Source organism: Homo sapiens, chromosome 14, assembly GCF_000001405.40.
Source record: "Homo sapiens chromosome 14, GRCh38.p14 Primary Assembly".
NCBI lineage: Eukaryota > Metazoa > Chordata > Mammalia > Primates > Hominidae > Homo > Homo sapiens.
This window is the reverse complement of record NC_000014.9, coordinates 54,496,635-54,521,116: the sequence shown is the minus strand read 5'-3', so window position 1 is coordinate 54,521,116 and position 24,482 is coordinate 54,496,635. Positions and strand designations below refer to the sequence as shown.

General features: G+C 41.9%; 1 protein-coding gene across 1 annotated transcript in view, besides 3 other annotated features; it reads right to left on the bottom strand.

Annotated features, from left to right (window-relative positions):
* Positions 1-11,211, bottom strand: part of CGRRF1 (cell growth regulator with ring finger domain 1) — a 29,387-nt gene extending 18,176 nt beyond the window's left edge. The window contains exon 1 of the mRNA NM_006568.3: positions 11,054-11,211. Within this exon, the coding sequence (NP_006559.1) occupies positions 11,054-11,157 (104 nt within the window). The 5' untranslated portion in view covers positions 11,158-11,211. The remainder of the gene's footprint in view (positions 1-11,053) is intronic.
* Positions 10,731-10,960: an enhancer, noted in NCBI's record as "active region_8412". NCBI's record gives its function as "activates an Ori minimal core promoter by ATAC-STARR-seq in GM12878 lymphoblastoid cells {active_cell/tissue: GM12878}" and the evidence as "EXISTENCE:reporter gene assay evidence [ECO:0000049][PMID:35858748]".
* Positions 11,121-11,550: a silencer, noted in NCBI's record as "silent region_5765". NCBI's record gives its function as "represses an Ori minimal core promoter by ATAC-STARR-seq in GM12878 lymphoblastoid cells {active_cell/tissue: GM12878}" and the evidence as "EXISTENCE:reporter gene assay evidence [ECO:0000049][PMID:35858748]".
* Positions 11,136-11,321: a silencer, noted in NCBI's record as "fragment chr14:54976514-54976699 (GRCh37/hg19 assembly coordinates)". NCBI's record gives its function as "represses an EF-1alpha promoter that drives an FKBP-Casp9 reporter gene in an ReSE screen in K562 erythroleukemia cells {active_cell/tissue: K562}" and the evidence as "EXISTENCE:reporter gene assay evidence [ECO:0000049][PMID:32094911]".

Genomic DNA, 24,482 nt, shown 5'->3' with positions numbered 1-24,482 from the left:
ATTTCATGTAAAAATGTAAACTCTGACAATGCCCATGGAACAGAATTAAAAGGAAAATGAAAGGGGCTAAATTCAATTCCCAATAAAATTAAAAAACAGCTACTTTACTCAATTTACATAAAATAATCTAAAATTAATACACACCAGTTAAACTAGGAAATTTTAGTTAAAGACGGCACAGTTAGGAGCCTATTTGATGCACTCCCTTCTCTCCAAATACATATCAGTGATAGATAAAAAAGAAAAAGAAAAATTAAAAAGACCCCACAGATACCTGAGTCCCATATGCTTTAAGAAAAAAGAAAGACTCCGCTGAAATGAGTAAACAAACTGTGGTATATTTAAAGAAAAGAATAGAAGTATTCAGCAGTGAAAAGGAACAACTTATTACTACAATCAAATGGATAAATTTCAGAAACATCGTGCTATGCAAAAGAAGCCTTACACAAAAGAATAAATGCTGTATCCTTCTCTAATATAAAATTCTAGAGCAGGCACAACAAATTTATGGTAGAAATAAAAATGAGAACAATGGTTGCTTCCGGAAGTACAGGAGTAGGACTGACTGGGAAAGAGCATAAGAAAATTGACGGTAACGTTCAGTATCTTGACAGAGGCTTAAGCTGTATAGATGATGTGTTTGATAACACTTGGTAAATGGTACACTTAAGATTTGTACATCTTGGCCGGGTGCGGTGGCTCACACCTGTAATCCCAGCACTTTGGGAGGCCGAGGCGGATGGATCATGAGGCCAGGAGATCGAGACCGTCCTGATTAACACAGTGAAATCCCGTCTCTACTAAAAATACACACACACACACATACACACACACACACAAATTAGCCAGGCGTGGTGGTGGGCGCCTGCAGTCCCAGCTACTCGGGAGGCTGAAGCAGGAGAATGGCGTGAACCTGGGAGTCTGAGCTTGCAGTGAGCCAAGATCGCGCCATTGCACTCCAGCCTGAGCGACAGAGCAAGACTCCATCTCAAAAAAAATAAATAAATAAAAAATAAGATTTGTGTATCTTATATGTAAATGTTACTTCAAAAAACTATAAACGAAAACAAACACTGAACTCTAATCAGTAATATGTAATGTTTTAGAACTTACAGGTGAAGAGTACAACTCACTTTGAAGGGCATCGTGAAATAAGATAGACCAATGTATGGATAAAAGAGTGGATTAATGTGGACAGATATGTAATAGAGAAATTACAGTAAAATGCTGATTGTAGAATCTAAGTGATGGGCAGATGTGTGTTCACTGTGTAATTCTTTCTAGTATTCTGTATGTTTGAAAATTTTTATAATAAAATGCTGGGAACAAATACCTTTATGGATCCAAAAAAAGCAAAGAAACAAAGTAATGAGTAAGGCTATGCCATGGTTTCATGGTTCTCAGTCTGGCAGCAGACAGTGGCAACCAAGCCTTCATGTACTAAGGAGACCAGCATAGGCTGTCTTCTCCAGACAAGGGCCAGAGCCAGGTTTATAACTTGGAACCAGGAGCTGGATTAGGTCAATACAAAAATACGCAGAACTGTCGTTATAAGACTTGGTCCTAGGCTGGGTGCACTGGCTCCTGCCCATAATCCCAGAACTTTGGGAGGCTGAGGAGGGAGGAATGCTTGAGCCCAGGAGTTCGACACCAGTCTGGGCAACAATAGCGAGACCCCATCTCTACAAAAAAAAAAAAAAAAAAATGGAAAATTAGTTGGGCATGGTGGTGTACACCTGTGGTCCCAGCTACTTAAGAGGCTGAGGTGGAAGGATCGCTTGAGCCTGGGAGGTCAAGACTGCAGTAAGCAGAGATTGTGCCACTGCACTCCAGCCTGGGCAACACAGAGAGATTCTGTCTCAAAAAAAAAAGGCCAGGCACAGTAGCTCACGCCTGTGATCCCAACATTTTGGGAGGCCAAGGTGGGCAGATCACCCGAGGTCGGGAGTTCAAGACCAGCTTGAACAACATGGAGAAACCCCGTCTCTACTAAAAATACAAAAAAAATTAGCTGGGCATGGTGGTGCATGCCTGTAATCCCAGCTACTTGGGAGGCTGAGGCAGGAGAATTGCTTGAACCCAGGAGGCAGAGGTTGCAGAGAGCCGAGATCATGCCATTGTACTCCAGCCTGGGCAACAAGAGTGAAACTCCGTCCCAAACAAAACAAAACAAAACAAAACAAAACAACAAAAACCTAGTCCTGGTCTGGAGGTCTAGGAATCTGGGTATAAATGAATATAAAATGTTTTTGCAATCTATCCATCTGACAAAGGTCTAATATCCAGAGTCTACAAGGAACTTAAACAAATTTACAAGAAAAAAACAACCCCATTAAAAAGTAGGCAAACCACATGAACAGACACTTCTTAAAAGACATTCATGCAGCCAACAAACATGTGAAAAACAGCTCAACATCACTGATCATTAGAGAAATGCAAATCAAAACCACAATGAGATACCATTTCACGCCAGTCATAATGGCAATTATTAAAAAAATCCAGAAACAACAGATCTTGGCAAAGTTGTGGAGAAAAAGAAACACTTTTTTTTTTCTTTTTTTTTTTTGAGATGGAGTTTCGCTCTTGTTGCCCAGGCTGGACTGCAATGGCATGATCTCAGCTCACCGCAACCTCCACCTCCTGGGTTCAAGTGATTCTCCTGCCTCAGCCTCCCAAGTAGCTGGGATTCCAGGCATGCACCACCACGCCTGGCTAATTTTTTTTTGTATTTTTAGTAGAGACGGGATTTCTCCATGTTGGTCAGGCTGGTCTCAAGCTCCCGACCTCAGGTGATCTGCCCACCTCGGCCTCCCAAAGTGCTAGGATTACAGGCATGAGCCACTGCGCCTGGCCTAAAAGAAACACTTTTGCACTGTTGGTGGGAATATAAATTAGTTCAACTATTGTGGAAGACAGTATGGCAATTCCTCAAAAATCTAGAGGCAGAAATACCATTTGACCCAGCAATCCTATTACTGAGTATATACCCAAAGGAATATAAATCATTCTATTATAAAGATACATGCATGCATATATTAATTTCAGCACTAGTCACAATAGCAAAGACATGGAATCAACCCAAATGCCCATTAGTGATAGACTGGATGAAGAAAATGTGGTACATATGCACCACAGAATACTATGCAGCCATAAAAAGGAACAAGGTCATGTCCTTTGCAGGAAAATGCGTCAAGCTGGAAGCCATTATCCTCAGCAAACTAATGCAAGAACAGAAAATCAAACATTGCATATTCTCACTTGTAAGTGGGAGCAGACAGTGAGAACACATGGACACATGGAGGGGAAACAACACAGACTGGGGCCCATCAGGGTGGGAGCTGGGGGAGGGAGAGCATCAAGAATAGCTAATGGATGCTGGGCTTAATATCAAGGTGAATGGTTGATCTGTGCAGCTAACCACCATGGCACACATTTACCTATGTAACAAACCTGCACATCCTGCACATGTACCCCAGAACTTAAAAGTTGAAGGAAAAAATAAAATAAAATACTCAACTAAAAATAATAATAATAATAATAATTGCAAAGTGGATAAACAGTGAGGGTGATAACAAAGGGAGAAAAGTAACAAAACAAAACGAATCTTCCACTAAAATTTAGGTTGAAAACTAAAGTTTCAAAACACACAAGTCTAACACTGAAAGATAACCAATAAAATTAACAAATGAAATAAAAATTCACTTTTGATGACTCTGATTTTATAAAAGAGTTGGGTAAGACTGCTCTGGTCCTGCCTAACAAAGCTGAAAAGCAAGCCTCTAACAGACTAAACTATTTCTGAGTAACTTAACAGTGACCCAGAATAAAGCTCAAGAATATTTAGAGGAATACAAAAATATCCAGCACCTAGTAAGGTAAAATTCACAAAGTATAGCATCTGATAAAAAAACATTAACAGGCATGCAAAGAGCAGGAAAACAGTACCCACAATGAGGAGCAAAACTCTATAGAAATAGATCCAGAAATCATACAGATACTTGAATTAGTAGACAAGGATATAAAAATAGCTCCTAGGACTATATTCCATATGTTTCAGAAGAAAAGTAATGACTGCACATATGATATAGAGGCATGGAAGATATTTAAAAGGCCCAAATCAATATTTAGAGATGAAAAAGATAATGTTTTAGATAAAAAATATAGTGGATGAGATTAACAGCAGATTAGGTATTGCACAATAAAAGATTAGTAATCTTGAAGACAACATAACAGAAAGTACTGAAATTGAAACACAGAAAGGAAAAAGACTGAACAACAACAACAACAAAAAGCATCAGTAAGCCAACTTTTAGTCAGCCATGTAACTGAAGTCTTAACATATCACTGAAGTTTGCAGAGGACAGATAAAGTATTTGAACACATAATGGCGAAAACCTTCCCCAACATGTTGAAAACTATAAAAACCTACAGACCCAAGAATCTCAATGAGCTCCAAGCACAAGAAACAAGGAAAATTACCTAAGGCACATAATAATCAAATTGCTTAAAACCAGTAATATAGAGAAAATCCTAAGAAAAAGAAAGAAGATATGCTACGGTAGCCAAAGAAAAGGAAAAAAAGATATACTACACATAGAGGAACAAAGATAAGAATGTCAGTAGCTTTTTAATATTAATAAGAAGCAATGGAAGGCAGAATATCTTTAAAGAACTAACAGGAAAAAAATCTTGTCAATCTAGAATTCTATACCTATATTTTTCCAAAGCAAAATAAAGACTTTTTCAAACATAACAAAAGCTAAAAGAATTCATCACCAACAGACTTGCACAACAAGAAAAATTAAAGTATGCCTTGGGAAGAAGAAAAATGATACCAAATAAAAATCTGGATTGATACAAAGAAATAAATAGCAGTGAAATGGTAACTACGTGAGGAATTATAATGCTTTTCTTATATCTCTTTAAAATATTACCTGAAGGTAGATGGTGATAAGTTAGAGATACATTATAAACTTTCAAGCAACCACTAAAAAAAGTTATTGCTAATAAACCAACAAAGGAGATAAAATGGAATCACATAAATTATTTAACTAATGTAAATGATGGCTGAACAAAGGGGAAAAAGAAACAAAAAACAGACTAGTAAAATAAAAGAGGGGAAAAGAAACAAAGAACAGACAAAACAAACAAAAAACGAATAGCAAGATGGTGGAATTAAATCTAACAATATCAATAATCACATTAAATGTAAATGTTTTAAACTCCCTAGTTAAAAGGCAAAGATTATCAGATTGGATAAAAACATAAGACCTAGCTATATGGTGCATACAAGAAACCCACTTTAAATAAAAAGACAAAAAGAGTTTACAAGTAAAAGGATGAAAAAAAGATGTATATGCTAACACTAATCAAAAGAAAGCTGAAGTAGCTACATTAATACCAGACAAAGTAGATCTCAGAGCAAAGACTATTACCAGGATCAAAGAGGTCCATTTCATAGTGATATAAGGGTCAATTCATCATGCACACAAAATAATCCTAAATGTTTATGTACCTATTAATAGAACTTCAAAATATAAAGCAAAAACTGATACAACTGCCAAGAGAAATAGATAAATCCACAATTATAGTCAGAAATTCTAATACTCCCCACAACTTCAATAACTGATAGCTCCAATATATAGAAAATCAGTAAGGACATCAAAAACTTGAATAACACTATCAACCAATTTGACTTAATTGACACTTATAAAACATCTCACCCGGCCGGGCGCGGTGACTCACACCTGTAATCCCAGCACTTCGGGAGGTCATCGCGGGCAGATCATGAGGTCAAGCGATCGAGACCATCCTGGCCAACATGATGAAACCCCATCTCTACTAAAAATTAAAAAAAAAAATTAGTTGGGCATGGTAGTGCACACCTGTAGTCCCAGCTACTCTGGAGGCTGAGGCAGGAGAATTGCTTGAATCCAGGAGGCGGAGGTTGCAGTGAGCCGAGATCATACCACTGCACTCCAGCCTGGTGACAGAGCGAGACTCTGTCTCAAAAAAAAAAAAAAAAACAAAAAACTCACCCAATAATAGCAGAATATATATTATTTTTAAGTGCATTAGGACATTTACCAAAGAGAGAATATATTTGGATTATAAAACAAGTCTCAATAAATTTACAAGATGTCAAATCATAAAAAGTATGCTAACCACAATGGAATCAAATTATAAATCAGTAACAGAGATATCTTTAAAATTTCCAAATATTTGGAAACTCAATAACAAACTTCTAAATAACTTAGAGGTCAAGAAAAAAATCAAAAGGGAAATTATTTTAAATTATGACCTGAATAAAAATGAAGACATATGTGTCAAAATGTGGGGGAATGCTGATAAAGCAGTACTTACAAGGAAATTAGAAGGCACTCAACATTTCTGTTCCATCTCCTGGAAGAGAAGACCAAATACAGCATGTTCTCACTTATAAGTGGGAGCTAAATGATGAGAACTCATGAGCCCAAAGAAGGGAACAACAGATACTGGGATCCACCTGAGGGTGGAAGTTAGGAGGAAGAACAGGAGCAGAAAAGATAACTATTGAGTACTGGGATTAATACCTGGGTGATGAAATAATCTGTACAACAAACCCATGACACGAGTTTACCTATGTAACAAACCTTCACATGTACCTCTGAACCTAAATGTTTAAAAACAACAACAACAGAAATCTCAACGTTATAAAATACAGGCCACCAATGAGTCCAAGTTTCCATCAAACAAACAAGTATGAGTTAACGCTTTAGATGCAGAATTTCTTGAGAATATACCCAGATGAATAAATATGATCTGATCTAGTGTTACATTCTATTCTCCGGCTTACAATCCATCCTCACATATATTCCTCAGGATTCCACAGATATAAATTAGCAAAATTTTGCAATTCTTTTCAAGGACAGACTATTTCTAGTCAGATCAGATTTTGTCCCTATACTAGGCAACATGCAGAGATCTGGGCCTCATGACAAGATAATAGAGGTAGCTCTTAAGTGTGGATAGCCCTTTGCAAAGAAACTACCCTAGGTGAGGTTATTACAGGATCTTCAAGCAAGAGAAGGCTAATTTTCAAAAGTAAGCAGCTTCTGTCAACAATGGAGGCTCAGAGTGACTGGAGTTTTTTTCAAGATTCTCAGCTCTGTCCATGTCTACCTAGATGTCCCCATTCCAAGTCTCAGGGTTCTACTTCTTTCCAAACAATATTCTAAATGAGACACTGACAAAGGCTAGGTAATTCTATTACTATCGCAGTTAAAACTGTGTTCAGGCACCTGCCACCATGCCTGGCTAATTTTTCTATTTTTTGTAGAGACCGAGTTTTGCCATATTTCCCATGTTGGTCTTGAACTTCTGGGCTCAAACAGTCTTCCTGCCTCAGCCTCCCAAAGTGCTGGAATTATAGGCAGTGAGCCAAAATCATGCCACTGCACTCCAGCTCGGACAACAGAGCAAGACTCTGTCTCAAAAATAACATAACATAACATAACATTACATAACATAACATAACATAACATAACATAACATAACATAACATAACATAAAACTGTGTCCAATTTTTAGCAAGTCTTTCCGTGGCTACACAAAATGAAGTGCTTTAGAACCATGGAAACTTTTTGATTCTCTAAGACTTGACCGATCTAACGCTTTGAAGACCTGAGTTTGTCATTTGCTTTCTGTCAGTGCTCCAGTGAACAAAGAAGCACCTATCTCACTTCTCACTTCTCCCTCAGTCCCTGTAGTCATCATTACTGCCATTAACAGTCAAGCGCTTTAGCCACTTGGTCCTCCAGCACACAGCTTCAGAAATAATTTTATCACAATCAACCAAATGTATCAATTTGATTGTGATGCCACTACATGTTGTGGGTTACTAGATTATTTCCCATTGGCAAAGAGCTAAAGAAATTACCAAACCGATGCCCCCAAATTCTATCTTTGAAAGTTTTCTCACCAGGATCCCATTCTTAGTGACAATTTCTTTATCAGTCAGGGTCCAGGCAGGAGTCTGAAAATGCATCCGTTATTTTAACAGAGAGATTGGACTTGATTTTTAAAGTTGTCAGCATCAACATCAAGAGAAATTTTCATATGAAAAATGTTAACCATATGTTGAAGAACTGAAAAGGCAAAAAGAGGACACTGAGTCCTACTTATGTGATAAGAAGTAGTAACAGCAGGAAGCAGCTATCACTCCTAGGACAAGGGAACAGAGAAAAGAGAATAAAGAGAATTTACTATAGTTTAGAAATGTGGAGGAGAGACTCTATGGAGCTCAGGACTCAGATCTGAGGAAAGGATACTGGTATCTTTAAGGAAGTGCATAAGGCTGATTCTAGCAGAGTAGGAAAGCATAAACTGGAACAAGTGGGACCAACTATTAATGCCAGAGTGAGGCACTATTGTGGCAAGTGACAGACAAGAAAAGGAATCAACAGGAAGCAGCAAGTCCCTTCATCCTCTTCCAGCTTTCCAGTCTCCCTCCCTTGTTGGCAAAGCCCAATGGGCAGTCAGCTTGCAAAGAAGAAATGTAGTTTAGAGTTCTGCCCTAGATTCACAAAGCAGAGGGTGGTATGAAGTTGAGGTCAACAGCTTAATAAACTGTGGTCAAGAGGAGGCCGGGAATAGCTACTGGAGTCATGGTCCCTGATTATTTGAAACTGTTAAAGGATGTAAATGGACTTTTGGGCTTCTTTGTGCTCAGTGCCTGCAGAAAGCTATCAGAGATCACAGAAACCACCACATGGTGAAAGAAAAATACTATATTTCCAGTTGCATGCTTCTTTGCTATTGCTATTGGGATTCCAATAATCATATGCTCCTGTTTTTTCTCCACTCCCACACAGTGCAGGCAGACATGGCAAACAGTGGAAAGAAGCAAATAGTGAAAAACTCAGAGAAGTACCAAGGGAAAAACCATGACAGAAAACACATGAACAGTAGAGATGGTATTATGGGAGGTTAAAACAAAACAAAACAATGACAAGGGTGAAAAACATGCGTATTAACTAGTTTACCCTTCTGACTGGGGTACTATTGGTACTATTAGAAAGATGTTTTTATGCGATTTAGATGGTGTCCAAGTTTTCATCATTTCTAGTCAATAAATACATGGCCTTGGCTTAAGTTTGCAAATAAACATAGTAAAAAGTTTATCTACGTGGGCAAAACTAACTCGGATGGAGAGAATGGTTGGGTTAGGCACAAGATGACTGGTTAGGCCTAAATTAGGATGGAAGTGACTGGATTTACATGGTCTTGTGGCCTCAGCAGTGCTTAGCCCAGACTTCCAAACGTTCTATAATTACATGGGCTTCCACTCTTGTAAAAAGTCTTACCTAAATGGGGTGATTTGGCAATTATTAAATTTTCAAACCAAGTCTTAAAGCTGGCAGAGCCAGGATTTGAACCTATGTCTGACTGACTCCAAAGTCTGTCTGTTAACCACTACAAACATGAGGCTCCTGACTACCCTCTTCCCAATACTAAAGATTGATATCTAAGATATCTAATTAGTTGGCCTATTTAAAATAAAAATTAAAGCACATAAGGCAATTATCAACTAGTTACTATTTTCCTTAGTGGAGGAAAATTATGCTTCATTAAGAGAATAACACTAACATTATAGTCATTTAAAAATCTTGTGTTAAGACTGCTTTTCTCACATGGGCAACACCTTCCTCATTCCAATTACAAACTTTTGTGTAATGAACATTAGCAATAAAATCTGATGGGTCAAGAATAACCAATTGTGTAAGATTGGTCTTTGTTTTCCAATCTTACCCCCACAAATAAGGAATTTGTATTTCCAATCCTCACCCACATACAAGGCAAGGAATTCTATGCTCTATTGCTGGTAGGGTGAGGAGCAGTGTGGACAGGTTAAAACTTTTGTCACTTCCTAAAGATGGCATATATTTTCAGAAACCGACAAGGGCCCGTGTTCTTTAAGGCAATCACATATATGTGACCAAAGGCTATTTTAAAACTCGTTTTACGTAGCCTTCTTTATTCACTAACATGTTCTCTGCCCCTATGCTCATGCTGTCTTCTCTGAGATGCTTTTTCTTCCCTACTATATACATTTAACTCCATTTATTTTTCAAAATGCTCATTCTCCAAAATCCAGCTCATGTCCCTCTTCAACAGAGTCCCCTCTGACCTCTTCAGACCATGGCTGTTATCCACTTAGAACTGCTGTTTGATCTTTTTGTAACTATTATCATCTCAAAGGGATTTTGGAGGCTGCAGCCTAGAAAAACTGTTGTGGGCTAGTTACACGGTTTCAACTCGTTATTTACAAGGCTTGTCTAAACATGATACAATAGCATCTCCTCAAGAGAGAAATTGAACCTCTAGGCTAGAAGAATTGCTCAGCGGTTATCTAACAGACCATTCTCCTTGTCTCCAATAGGCAACTGTCCTACCCTCGGTGTTACATATTTCTAAGGTCTCTTCCAGCTCTAAAATTATGATTTTACAATTCTATCGACTAAATATTACTTCAAAAGGTGTGGAATGTATACAGAAACCATTAAATTCTCAAACGGTAACAGTTCAGTTACAAGTTACTCTGAAAGATCTGAGGCTAAGGGCTCCATTCAGGTCAGAATCACAACTGTTAACCTCGCTTACTGTCCAGTCTGTGCACTGTAGCACAGGTGACTAACTCATCCAGGACACACAGTAGGCCCGAATCCGGGACAGAAGCCTACTAGAGAAGCACTTTCTCCCAACACCAAGCCCAAGCCCAAGCCCTTCCTGGCTGCTTTATCGCCTAGAAACAAAGCTGAGTAAAACACCCCAATGCGGTACCACCCCAAGATGCCCCAGCGACACGGACCAAACGGTGATGCAGGGCAGTGACGCAGGTGCAGCGTCCACCTTGTTTTCCTCCCAGAGAAAGTCGGAGTTCTAGGCACCCGGGGACACCGAATCCCCGACGTCCTCCGGCCCGCGGCCCTCCGGCTCCGGTGCCCCCTGCTGCTCGTCGCGACCCCACTCTGGCGGTATCCGCCCCTTCGTCTCTCACCCCTGGGACACTTACCATCCCAATACCAGGCCGGTGGTCACGATGAAGCAGGTAAAGACCACCGCGATGTAGAAAAGCGGCGAGTATTCATAAAGCGTTACCAGAAACACCGCAGCCATCAGGGTCTTGCTCTGGGTAGAGCCCGGCTCCAGCCGCGGAGCCCAGCCCAGCCCGGCTGAGCCCCGCCCGCCCGGCCAGGGTAAAAGCCACTACAGTGCCCCGGAGCGGACAAACTTTGTAGGTCCGCACTTGCCTGGGGTTCTCATGAGCTAGACTTTAGGGCAGCCTCGCGGACAGCGGGAGCTGGCGTGCCAATCACGGCGCCCCCTGCCGGACACGCCACGCCCCTCCCGCTCCCGTCCCGAGCTATTGGCTACGCAGACCTGGGATGGGGGGGGCCCGACTCGCACCGCCCCCGACTCCCAGGATTGGTACCCAGCGGGCGTCTTAAGCGCTGTGGCCCAGTGGTCATTGCTGTTCCGCCGGCAAATTCTAAGTAGACTTTGGGGCCAACTCTGTGCCAGCCTTAGGCAATGTAGGTTTTCTGATGTCAGAGAGAGGCGCAGTCTGAAATCTACGTGCATCGTTTCTAAATCCTGAAACCCTGCCTATTATATCTTAGGCAAATTTGGGAGAGGGTGGAGGAGGAGGAGGAGGAGGGCGGGCATCTTGGATTCTACAAAATGAAATAACCATAAGCACAGTGAAAACACAAAAAAAGGAGTCTCTACCACAAGCAATTTATACGAGACTTGTCAGCCTTTTCAGATTGGACTTAATCATAGAGGAAAATCAGCATTGCTTATCCAAGATTCTCTTAGAAATAAAGCATCCGCTTCCTCCCACATCCCCCTCCTTTTCTCCTCTTCTTGTACTCCTCAAATTAGAATTAGCCAAACATTTGAAACTGTATTTGTTTCCACTTTAAGAATAATTTTTAAAAAACTTTTTAAATCACACAGAAGCTTTTTAAAAATTACTGAAAGTAGCTAAATGGTCACTCCCTTGTCTCAACCCTGTGAGTCAGCTCCATCAAGGTGGCCTCCCTGAAAGTCTTTCATAACAGTTCATTGACACCTCGTTGGTTTGCATTTACTCCTAAAGCCACATCTAGCCACATCAGAGAATGGGGATATGTAGTCTTATTATTCGTGAGCAGCAACACACCCTGGTACAAATCAAGAGTTTTGTTACTGAGGAGGAAAGAGAATGGACATTGGGATAGTTAACTAGTAGCCTCTGTCACACTCCTAAATCACCAGTAAAATTCGTGTTGAGAAAGATGAACTAAGTTTGTCCTATGGCCTCACATATTCCTTGGCAAATGAGCACGTAGTCTCTGGAGCAGCACTGTTTGAGAAGCTTGCTTCTACAACACAATTTTTAATTACTATATATCTGATTTGTGAAAATATATACTTTAATCAGCCCTCAACTGTTGGAGAATTTTTCATTGCTATAAATAACACTGCAATGAACATCCCTACAGCTAAAGTATTTCCTTAGGATAAATTACTAGAGGTGGAACTATGGTTTTAAAAAATGTACATTTTAAAGATTTTGTAAAAACACTGCTCTCCAGAAATGTACCAATTTGTATTCCCAGTTTTTCATCCACAGTTTTGCCATCATTTGATATTGTCACTTAACAAAAATATTGGCCAATCTGAAAGGCTCCCTTCTCCAGCAAGCCTTCCTGGATGCTTCCAAACCCTTGGGGAGATGCCTCTCCCAAAGCACCCAGTATGTAACTGTATGGGAGCCCTCTTATTTCTGGTGTGAGCACCTGCTCACTAGTGTATTTAGCCTGCTAGGAACCCAGCTCTCTGAGCACAGGAATGACACATAATTGATGTTTGTGCCACCGGTACCTAGTATATGTCGGGTAGTCATATTACTGAATTAATAAATAAATGAAATAAGCTTTTCTCCATGAGATTACTTGGAAGCACAAAGTATCTATATTAGAGTTTTTTAAAAAAAAGTTTGACTCTCAGATGAACAGGAAGAATGACTGTTCTTTATTATCTATAACTGATCTAGTTTAGCTTGAAACCCCACCCTAGACCCAGCATGGTGGCTCATGCCTGTAATGCCAGCACTTTGGAAGACCAAGGCCAGCACTTTGGGAGACCAAGGCAGGGAGATGGCTTGAGCCCAGGAATTGAGACCAGCGTCAGCGACATAGTGGGACCCTGTCTCTACAAAAAATTAAAAAATTAACTGGGCGAGGCAGAAGGATTGCTTGAGCAAGGGAGGTTGAGGCTGCAGTGAGCCACGATTGTGCCGCTACACTCCAGCCTGGGTGACACAGCAAGACGCTGTCTCAAAAAAAAAAAAAAAAAAAGCAAAGCAAGAACCTGTCTCAAAAAAGAAGAAAAAGAAAGAAGCCCCACCCTACTATTAGACGGGGTAAAAAGAGAAGACAATGTGAGCTTAAATTTATCAATAAAAAGTATCTTAGGCCGGGCATGGTGGCTCACGTCTGTAATCCCAGCACTTTGAGAGGCTGAGGTGGGCAGATAACTGAGGTCAGGAGTTTGAGACCAGCCTGGCCAACATGGCAAAACCCCATCTCTACTAAAAATACAAAAATTAGCCCAGCATGATGGCGGGCACCTGTAATCCCAGCTACTCAGGAGGCTGAGGCAGGAGAATTGCTTGAACCCGGGAGGTGGAGGTTGCAGTGGGCTGAAATTGTGTCACTGCACTCCAGCCTGGGCGACAGAATAAGATTCCGGCAAAAAAAAAAAAAAAAAAAAAGTATCTTAGACTCTTCAAGTTTAATTGCACCTTTTAGGAAGCTGGTCTCCTTTAGGAAAATGTTTAGTCTCTCCTCTCTCTTCTCTTGATTCTTCCCAAGACAGTATCTGATTGTACAAGGTGTTCATATGACCTGATGGTGGAGGTCAGGAAAATGAGACCTCAGCTCTGCATGACACCTGTAGGTCCTCACTAAGGGGAAGCGGGTTTCATCTGGCTTTTTGTGGTACCAGGCCAGCCCTCACTGCGGAGATCCAGGGTTCCAGCCATTTACCTCTGGTTGTAAAACCCTCATAAGCTATGGCTCCTTAGCTCCACTAGCTCACCAGACTGCTTACCATCTCCAATGTTACTTACTGGGGCAATATGTAAACATGTAGATTCTCACATATGTCACATGCAGGCTACTGAGAAGCAGCAGTTATCTCAGGATGCCCAATCAGGCTACCTCTGCCACTGAATGCCATTGCTCTAGCACCATGGTGAAGGTGGTGTGAAGCAAGCCAAATGTAAGGCCTCTCCTCCTTTCCTAGAGGGAAAGTGGACTACCAGCTCCGATCTCTTCAGTTTCTCCAGTACCCCACCTATTTGTTTTTTAATTTTTTTTTTTTTTTTTTTTTGGAGACAGAGTCTCATTCTGTCGCCCAGGCTGGCGTGCAGTGGAGCAATCTTGGCTCACTGCAACCTCCACCTTCTGGGTTCAAGAGATTCTCCTGCCTCAGCCTCCCGAGTAGCTGGGACTACAGGCACCCGCCATCATGCCTGGCTAATTTTTGTATTTTTAGTAGAAACGGGGTTTCACCACATTGACCAGGCTAGTCTTAAACTACTGACCTCAGTGATCTGCCCGCCTTGGCCTCCCAAAGTGCTGGGATTACAGGCGTGAGCCACTGCACCCAGCCCCAATACCCCACCTATTTGGGTGCTTCCGCTACAACCACCTGCTTCCCTGAGATTCCAGCCTGGAGGGATGTGGGGACAAAACTGTCTTTATTTTATTTTAATTTTTGAGACAGGGTCTTGCTCTTTCACCCAGGCTGGAATACAGTGGCATGATCACAGCTCACTGCAGCCTCAACATTCTGAGCTCAAGTGATTCTCCTGCCACTGCCTCTCAAAGTGCTGGGATTACTTACTCTTTATGTAGAAACATCGCTGGAAAAGATGGTCCCGATGCAGACCCTAAGAGCAGGTTCTTGGATCTCGTGTAGGAAAGATTTTGAGGCGAGTCAGAGAGAACAGTGAAATAAGCAAGTTTATTGGAAACTACTCTGTTACAAAGTAGGAGTCTTCAGCAGGAGAAGGAACATTCCATTCTTTTTTAGTGCCTCTATACTTATAAGAAACTAAAAGGAGCAATATTAAACTTGGAACATGCAGATGTGCTCACTAAAGGTAGGGGCTATTGGTGTTACAGGTGACCATTAATCAATCCTTCAACCCAAGCCTCTTAGTTAATGGTATCTTTAAGCAAAGTGGGCTGCACTCTTAGGACATCTGGGCATTCTGAAGGCTTGGTGGGAGATGCTCTGTATGGTTATAAATACTCTGCATTTATAAGTGGTGGTCAGCTTGAGATGTGACTATTTTCGACCAGAAGTATTAACCTTATAAGCCTTGTGAGTGCTTAGTTACTCACTCAAGATGGAGTCCCTCTGTTCATGCATTATTAAACCAGAGGCCTGAAAAGCAGGGGTTTCTCTAACAGGAACATCTATTCATTTTAAGTTTCCTCCAAAACAACCCTTGTTGTTACAGAAATCATAGGCTCTCCTCTGACACCCATAGCCACCTACACATTCCTTCCAGAGCACATATGCTCTTTTCCCAAGATATAAGCCCTGGGTCTGGGGTGTTGTAGTGCGAAGATCTAATTGTCTTGCGGCTGCCCAAGACAACATTTCTGTCTGTAAGTTTCCCTAATAAATCACATAAAACCAACAAACTGGATTTGTCTGCCTCCTTCTTTGGTTTCTCTGCTCCTTCAGCTTTTTATGGCCTTTTCACGGAACAAGGCGGAAGCCAGAACGGGTGGATATGATGCTGCACCTGCTCTAGCCCTTTCTCCTCTCCACACTCCAGCAGATCACAAGCAGAAGACTTTCCTACCCTCCTACTTGGCAGGTACTTTCCTTATGTCATAGCCTCACTTTCCCTGCCGTATGGCATACATTAAATACCACTCTTACTGTTGCCAAGGTCTTGATTTTGAAATGTTAACTGAACTTTAAAAGTTTATAAAGCCTTTATTTCTTGGTAGTGTCAGGCTTTTTCAAGATGACTGTGTTTCTTGAGATTCAAACATCTTATTTTAGAAGTCAAAAGCTGCTTTTTTTTTTTTTTTTTTTTTTGAGACAGAGTCTTGCTCTGTCGCCCAGGCTGGAGTGCAGTGGCATGATCTCAGCTCACTGCAACCTCTGCCTCCTGGGTTCAAGTGATTCTCCTCCCTCAGCCTCCCAAGTAGCTGGGATTACAGGTGCCCACCACCACATCCAGATAATTTTTGTATTTTTAGTGGAGACGGGGTTTCACCATATTGACCAGGCTGGTCTCGATCTCCTAACCTTGTGATCTGCCCGCCCCGGTCTCCCAAAGTGCTGGGATTACAGTCACGAACCACCGCACCCAGCCTAGCTTTTTCTTTTTAATTTCTGACATCACAGTTCTATTTATCCTTTGATGCTGATAGATGCTTCTGACTGACCAAGGAGAAGGTCCCATAAGAGAAATGCAAAAAATATATATATATATTTTGAGACGGAGTCTCACTCTGTCACCCAGGCTGGAGTGCAGTGGTATGATCTTGGCTCACCACAACCTCCGCCTCCCAGGTTCAAGCGATTCTCCTTCCTCAGCCTCCCAAGTAGCTGGGACTACAGGTGCAAGCTACCACGTTCAGCTAATTTTTGTATTTTTAGTTGAGGTGGAGTTTCACCATGTTGGCCAGGCTGGTCTCAAACTCCTGACCTCAGGTGATCCATTCGCCTTGGCCTCCCAAAGTGCTGGGATTAAAGGTGTGAGCCACCGAGCCTGGCCAAGAAATGCAAAAATATTAACATGTTTTTGAAAGTTATAATCTCCCTTATGTTATTTGCCTTGGAGCTGCCAACCCTTTCATTCATATTGTCTTTCTATAGTCCACATTCTTTCCTGGAAGGTCAGAAGGTCAGATCTCAATTTGGAAATATAAATAGGTAGGAATATAAATAATAAGGGTCCTAAATTTGAGTTTCAAACATGAGAAACTGGCAAATGGAACTGAATGTGCAATTTTGATATGACATCATAGATAACAGGAATTGTGAAAAATCTTATAGTAGTTTGGCAGAACCTAACAGCTTAACTCTTTATAGCCCATTGAACTTCCAAGTTCCTGAAACTCTCATGGTTTCAGATGCTGGGCTTCTGTTGTCTGTACATACTAAGTGGTAGGAGGCTACCTGAAGCCTGCTCCAACTGAGCTGACACTGATGATTAATGTGGTATTTAGTCTGTGGCCCAAAGCTTAGGACATTCATCTAGAACAGTGATTCTCAACTCGGAGTGTTCCTCCCTACCACTTCAACATTTGGCAATGTCTGGAGACATTTTTGTTTGTCACAACTAGGAAGTTGCTACTGGCCTCTAGTGGGTAGAGGCCAGGAATGCTGCTAAACATCCTACAATGCACAGTGCAGCCTACTCACAACAAAAAATGTATCCAATTATCCAATGTCAATATTGCTGAGGTTGAGAAACCCTGGTACAGAAAATTCTATTGGCCCTGGGCACTTCGCACCAAATCACTGTTTCCACCTTGGTCCAGGCCATGTCTTTTCCGGGGTTACCACAGTAGCCTCCTGAATAGTGTCCTTCTTCTGTCTCTGCTCTCCACAGTCTAGTCTTTTTCTTTTTAAAAAATACTTATTTAAGGCCGGGCATAGTGGCTCATGCCTGTAATCACAGCCCTTTGGGAGGCCGAGGTGGGCAGATCACGAGGTCAGGAGTTCGAGACCAGCCAGGACAATATGGTGAAACCCCGTCTCTACTAAAAATACAAAAATTATCCGGGAATGGTGGTGTGTGCCTGTGATCCCAGCTACTCAGCAGGCTGAGGCAGGAGAATCATTTGAACCCGGGAGGTAGAGGTTGCAGTGAACTGAGATCGCATCACTGCACTCCAGCCTGGGTGACAGAGCAAGACTCCGTCTAAAAAAAAAAAAAAAAAAGAAAAAAAGAAAGAAAAAAACTTATTTAAAATTTAATTTAATTTTTTATTTATATACAGTAATGTTCACCATGTTTAGTGTACAGATCTATGAGTTTTCACAGATGTATAGAGGTCATGTAACTGTAATCACAATCAAGATACAGAAGGGCAGCTCAGTTTTCAAAGTCTCTACTTTGCTTTCTGAGTCAGCTTCTTTGATTCAGCCTGCTTAGGTCAGAGTCAGACAGTAAAGGAGAAAAAAAAGAACTAGAAAATTTGGGTGTCATTCTAGTCATTCTACAAGTTTTGACTTCCTGTGGTGCAAGCCCTGAAGTTAGGATCTAATATTATGTGCTGTCTTGACATCTGGTGAAATTGGGAAAGGCTTAACCTCAAGTTCCTTTCTCCACTCCGCTCCCATGGATAAAGTCCCCTAGCCAAACAGCCCTCCTTATCAGGAGTACCAGGCACGGTGTCTGCTTATCCCTGAGTAGTGGGTTTCAGTTCCCTGCCAGCCCACAGGATTATTTAAACAAGCCCATCACTTCCTACTGCAGGAACCAAAGAGCTGTAGAGGAGGGAAAAATAGCTTCCCTTTACCCTTCTAGGTTCTTTGGCTGGCCTCAAATTAAATTGACATGCAACAGATTAACAAGAGAAAAGCCATAATTAATAATGGATGTACGCATGAGAATCCCACAAAATATGAGACTCGAAGAAGAGTCAGATGATTGAAGCTTATATAGCATCCTGAGCTACAGAAAGGAACAGTGACTCGGGGCTTCTGAGGGGTGATAATGATATAAGTTATGGAAAAGCGAGGAGAGGAAATTTTGCTGAATAAATGTTGTCTTGTTATACAGATAAAAAGTCCCTTGGGTAAAAAAAGTTGTCTTAAAGCAGCCTTCAAAAACATAGGTGATAGTCTGTCTGGGCATGGGTCAACCTCTAGTCTCCTCCACTGCAATCCAAGTTCATCTTCCCTGGTTGATATGGTTAATAAGATTCCCAGAAAGGGGATTCTTGACAATCGAATTCCTTTTGGAGGATTCATCTTCAGGCAGATTGGAGGATGCTTCGAGAAAGCCTCTGCCTGCAACTCTTGTTCCCCACGTGTCCTCAGTTCAAAGTAATCTGCATACCAAAGCATCATATTTGGGGGTGGCATTCCCTGAACTCCTTTGGAGTATCCCACCCTCTTGAGTATCCCACTCACTACAAAGCCTGGTTCCACAGCTCCTGATTGTTCATTCCGTTCCCAAGTGCAGCACCCTTGGGCCATGCTGTGTCCTCTTCCCCTTTGCTGGAAGTATATAAGACCAATAAACTGCTGTTGATCTCACCTGTCCAGTGTCAGGTGGGGTGTGTTCAGCCATCCCCATAACCCTAGGGTGGACAAAGTCCTTGTGATCACTTAAGGAGGCTCTACGTGATCCAGCCCTCCAATCCCAATATGACCTCATGTCCTCCTACAACTCACCCCCAGCTCATTCTGCTCCAGTCATTTGACTATCTTCTTGTTCCCTAAAACAACATACACGCTTCTGTCTTATGGCCTTGGCAGTGCAGTTCCCTCTGCATAGGATGTTCCTCCAGATATCCACATGGCTAATTCCCACAGTTTCAAAATCTCTCTCTCTCTCTTTTTTTTTTTTTTTTTTTTCGAGACATGGTCTTTCTCTGTCACTCAGGCTGGAGTGCAGTGGCACAGTCTTGGCTTACTGCAAGCAGCCTCGACCTCCTGGGGTCAAGCAGTCCTCCCACCTCAGCCTTCTGAGTAGCTGGAACTACAGCCACACACCACCATGCTGAGATAATTTTGTTCGTTTTTTTTGTAGAGACAGAGTCTAACAATGTTGCCCAGGCTGATCTCAAACACCTGGACTCAAGGGATCCTGCTGCCTTGGCCTCCCTAAGTGCTGGGATTACAGGCATGAGCCATCGCACCCAGTCCCCCCTTTTTTATTCTCAGTTTCAAATATTTGCTCAGACATGACCTTCCTGGTGAGGACTACAACTATCCTATTTAAAATAGCAAATCCCTCCTTCTTTGCACTCCCAACCTCCCTTTTCCTATTTTTTCTCCCATAGCACTAATCACCTTCTAACATACAATATTGCTTACTACGCTCTTGTCTGTCACTTCCTCATTTCCACTAGAATGTTACTTCCAGGAGAAAAGGGCTTTGGACCTTAGCATCCAGGAAGGATACATAATAGGCCCTCAAAAACTATTTGTTGGCTGGGCACGGTGGCTCATGCCTGCAATCCCAGCACTTTGGGAGGCCAAGGCAGGTGGATCACTTGGGCTCACAAGTTCGAGACCAGCCTGAGCAACATGGTGAAACCCTGTCTCTACTAAAAATACAAAAAAATTAGCTGGGAGTGGTGGCATATGCCTATAATCTCAGCTACTCAGGAGGCTGAGGTGGGAGGATCACTTGAGTCTAGGAGGCGAAGGTTGCAGTGAGCTGAGATCACGCCACTGCACTCCAGCCTGGGCAACAAAGCCAGACCTTGTCTCAAAACAAAACAAAAACAAAACAAAGCAAAACAAAACAAAACAAAAAAACTATTTGTTGAACTAATGAATGTGTGGGAATATGTAAAGAAAATTGTGAAAAGAAAATAAAATTTCAGGACTTTCCAAATTTATTATGCCAAAAAGAAAAGCTCAGCCCTGGAAACTGAGTCACATAACACAGCTGTTTTTCTTCTTTAGTGCGTGACTGTTGCTTCCTGACCTTTGTGTTGAGTTGTTATACATTGACCAGAATCCCTATTCTTCATTCAAACCTAGACTAAATGACGTTGGAGATAGACACCTTTGTGATTTTTACCTCTTTCCAATAGAATGTGAAGGAACCCCTTTAGAGAGTAATCAGTAGTAGCCAATCAAATCTTATGTCTGTATGTTACCCTTTTTATGGAACATGTTATAATTCTGTTCAGCATGTCAATTTTTGCCTAGGCAAACAATCTTCACTTTCCCCACATAGGAGAACTACTCACCATTCTTCGGTGTCTGTGTGCCCATGGACAGTCTGTTACCCTCATACCTTGCACTCGAATAAACTCTTAACTGGATCCTGATCTTTTACATTATTTTAGGTTGACAATACAAACATACCAGCAAGGCTGCTAATTCAGAGAATGAAGAACTTAGAAAAGTTCAAGCCGGAAATGATTAATCTAATTCTGATCTTTCCCCAGTTTTTAATTAGAATACTCCTTTTCTTTCTACCCTGATCTTGTCTTACGTCAAATCTTTTCGTGAGATAAAGCACATTTTGGTGAACTCGACATGGCTTAATACTGATGGATTCTTGTGTTTGTTACAGAGGTGAGCTAGGGCTATTTCCATGGCAGAAAAGTGCTGGAAAACATTCTGGAACTTGCTCCTTACCCTACAATAACCCAAGCCAGAATGGCATTCCCAAACCTCATTGTAAATAAAAATATGTTTTTCTGATTAAATATATTCTATAGACTGAGTGCAAATAGTCTATATTCATTTCACTCCTCTCATATACTAAATCACATTTTCATCAATTTGGCCTCATTGTGAATACATCAGTCTCTGCAGCCTGTTTTGGGTCTGTATGAGACCAGCCATTTTATAGCTTATACTGTTTGGAAAACTTCTGTTTTTTTTTTGAGACGGAGTCTTGCTCTGTCCCCCAGGCTGGAGTGCAGTGGCGCAATCTCGGCTCACTGCAAGCTCCGCCTCCCGGGTTCATGCCATTTTCCTGCCTTAGTCTCCACAGTAGCGGAGACTACAGGCACCTGCCACTGCGCCTGGCTAATTTTTTGTATTTTTAGTAGAGATGGGGTTTCACCGTGTTAGCCAGGATGGTCTTGATCTCCTGACCTCGTGATCCGCCTGCCTCGGCCTCCCAAAGTGCTGGGATTACAGGTGTGAGCCACCGTGCCTGGCCTGGAAAACATTAAAAAAAAAACAAAAACAGAAGGAAAAGGGTGTTTGAGCCAAGAGGAAACTTCCCCTTTGCCCTCTGAAGTTTTGCTGAAAAATCAACTGACAAAAGGCAAATTAATTGGAGATAGGCTATATAAATGTATTTAATATTGCCTAATAAAAAAGCCCCACCAGCTCTTTTCAGAGGTTGAGTCAGGGAATTCTCTGTCTGTCTCGTGCTGCCTCCATTATGCCTGGACATAAACTCCAATGAAGCCTTGTCTGGGGAAACTATTTTGGCCTCATGTCAATTCCTACTGCATTGAGAGCCCCAAAACTCGTGGTCAGTAACATATTCTTTGGGGACTCATCCAAGATCACAGGACGTGGAGAGCCTTTCTCTATCTGAGAGGGTGACTTGTGAGGTGACGGGACTGCTGGAAAAGATCCCTTTATGGCTGACAAGCAGCTGCCTGAAGTTTTGATTCAGTGTCACCGCAATGGGTGAGTCTTTCTCCAGCCTCCTGGAACTCCTCACCTTCCCCACACAGACGATGCCTTTCTCCCTTCCCTTTCCTCCCTCTGTCTCCTTTCCTCTTCCTATCTTTTCTGTCACTCAGGGCGCTTTGCCTCTCCTCTCCTAATCCTTACTGGTTTGGGTTGCTTGAATAGACATCTATGAGGGACGGGTTGAAACAGCCTCCCTAGTTTACTGGTCTGGGTCACCTGAATAGCCACCCATGCAGGAAGGATGAAAACAGTTGACTATCCAGGTCTGATTAACTCAGCCGGCATTGGGACAGGTCACATCCCTCCCTGGCCTAAGTTGTTGTTGGCTCAAATCCCAAGAAAAAAATTCTCTCTCTCTCTTTTCCTCTCTCCCTCTCTGGCACCCTGAACTTTGATCCTGTAACTATTTGAAACCCCTCATTATGTCACTTCCCTAGGCCTGTAATCTTTTAGAGTTTCTGTCTGTACAAATGTATAGTCCTGTCGGTTTGGGGAGACTGCCTGAGACACAGTGCTGGGGACGCCCATCTAGTCTTCAGGAAGGCACCAGGGATGCCTGGGTGCGACTGCCAGTATTGGTTCTCTGCATAACAGGAAAAGTTCAGAGTTCAAATGGTTAACCTGCAACTATAGAGATAAGTAAACTTAACTTCATAAATTTAAATTTGAGAGGCTTTCGCCTATGGTTCCATAAAACAGAAAAGATGATTTTCTTTTGTAGGCATCTTGGCCCCCACAGGTATGGCACAGAGAGCAGGGTCACCTGAGCCATTCAGAGAAAGATAACCCAAACCTCTGGCATGCCTGTAAAAGGGTAAGGATTACTTACTAGCCAGGCTTCTGGCCTCCCTCTCTCTGTGCAAACCAGTTAAGTGAATAGTGAAAATCATTGTTTGTCTCCTCTGCAAGGTTTTAATTAATGGGAACAGGGATTTGTGTGACAAGTTTTAGATTGTAGTGAATCTGGTGTACTTTGAGCTGTGAATTTGTCTTTCTATGTAATTCTATCAAGGAGAAGCATACCACAGGATAGAACGCAGGCTTAGGACTTATAAAAGCCTGCTGCTTTCAGCAGCCTGGCAAACTGGTTAGTTACAAACTTTGCTGTGGATCCCTGAACAAAAAGTGGATGAGGTTTCCCTCTCATCTTGTTTTATGTCCTTAGGAGCATGACCTTGTTACCATATGGGGATACTCTCTCGTGGTCTCTTCCATCCAGAGGGCAGGAATTATCAGGTTCATATCAGGAGGCCAGTCTGAAAGGACCAGGAGGTTGAGATGAGTCAGCACACTCTTGGTCCGAAGGTGTCAAGGCCTGGGGTGAGTTTTGTCTTAAGATGTCCCATCCCTATGGGGCTTTTGTCATCTTTTGCTATTTTAAGCTCATTTCTGAGAGTTAATTCTTGGGGACCATGAAGATGCCTCCTTTACCATCTCTCTAGAAATACCTTTAGCTTATATAGTTAAAAAAAAAAAAAAAACAAAACCTGAAAGATTACCATCTGGGCTCTAAAAGGCTTTTGAATTGAGTGTCTATCAGAACTGAGTACACCATTAAGAGAAAAAGAACTTTAGAGATCGCGTATTCTTAACAATTTTTCAAAAAGATTTAAATTAAAAGAAGAATGTATAATAATGTCATGATTAGCCTTAAAAATCATGTCAAGCAGTGGCCAGGCGTGGTGGCTTGTGCCTGTAATCCTAGCACTTTGGAAGGCCGAGGGGGACGGATCATGAGGTCAGGAGATTGAGACCATCCTGACTAACACGGTGAAACCCCGTCTCTACTAAAAAATACAAAAATATTAGCTGGGCGTGGTGGCGGGCGCCTGTAGTCCCAACTACTTGGGAGGCTGAGGCTGAGGCGAAAATGGCGTGAACCCAGGAGGCGGAGCTTGCAGTGAGCCAAGATCGCACCACTGGACTCTAGCCTGGGGGACAGAGCAAGACTCTCTCCCAAAAAAAAAAAAAAAAAAAAAAAAAAAAATTGTGTCAAGCAGTTAAAATCCTGTGTAGGCTTGAAAATGACTGCTCTAGTCTCCTTCAGAGAAGAGCATGGTAACAAC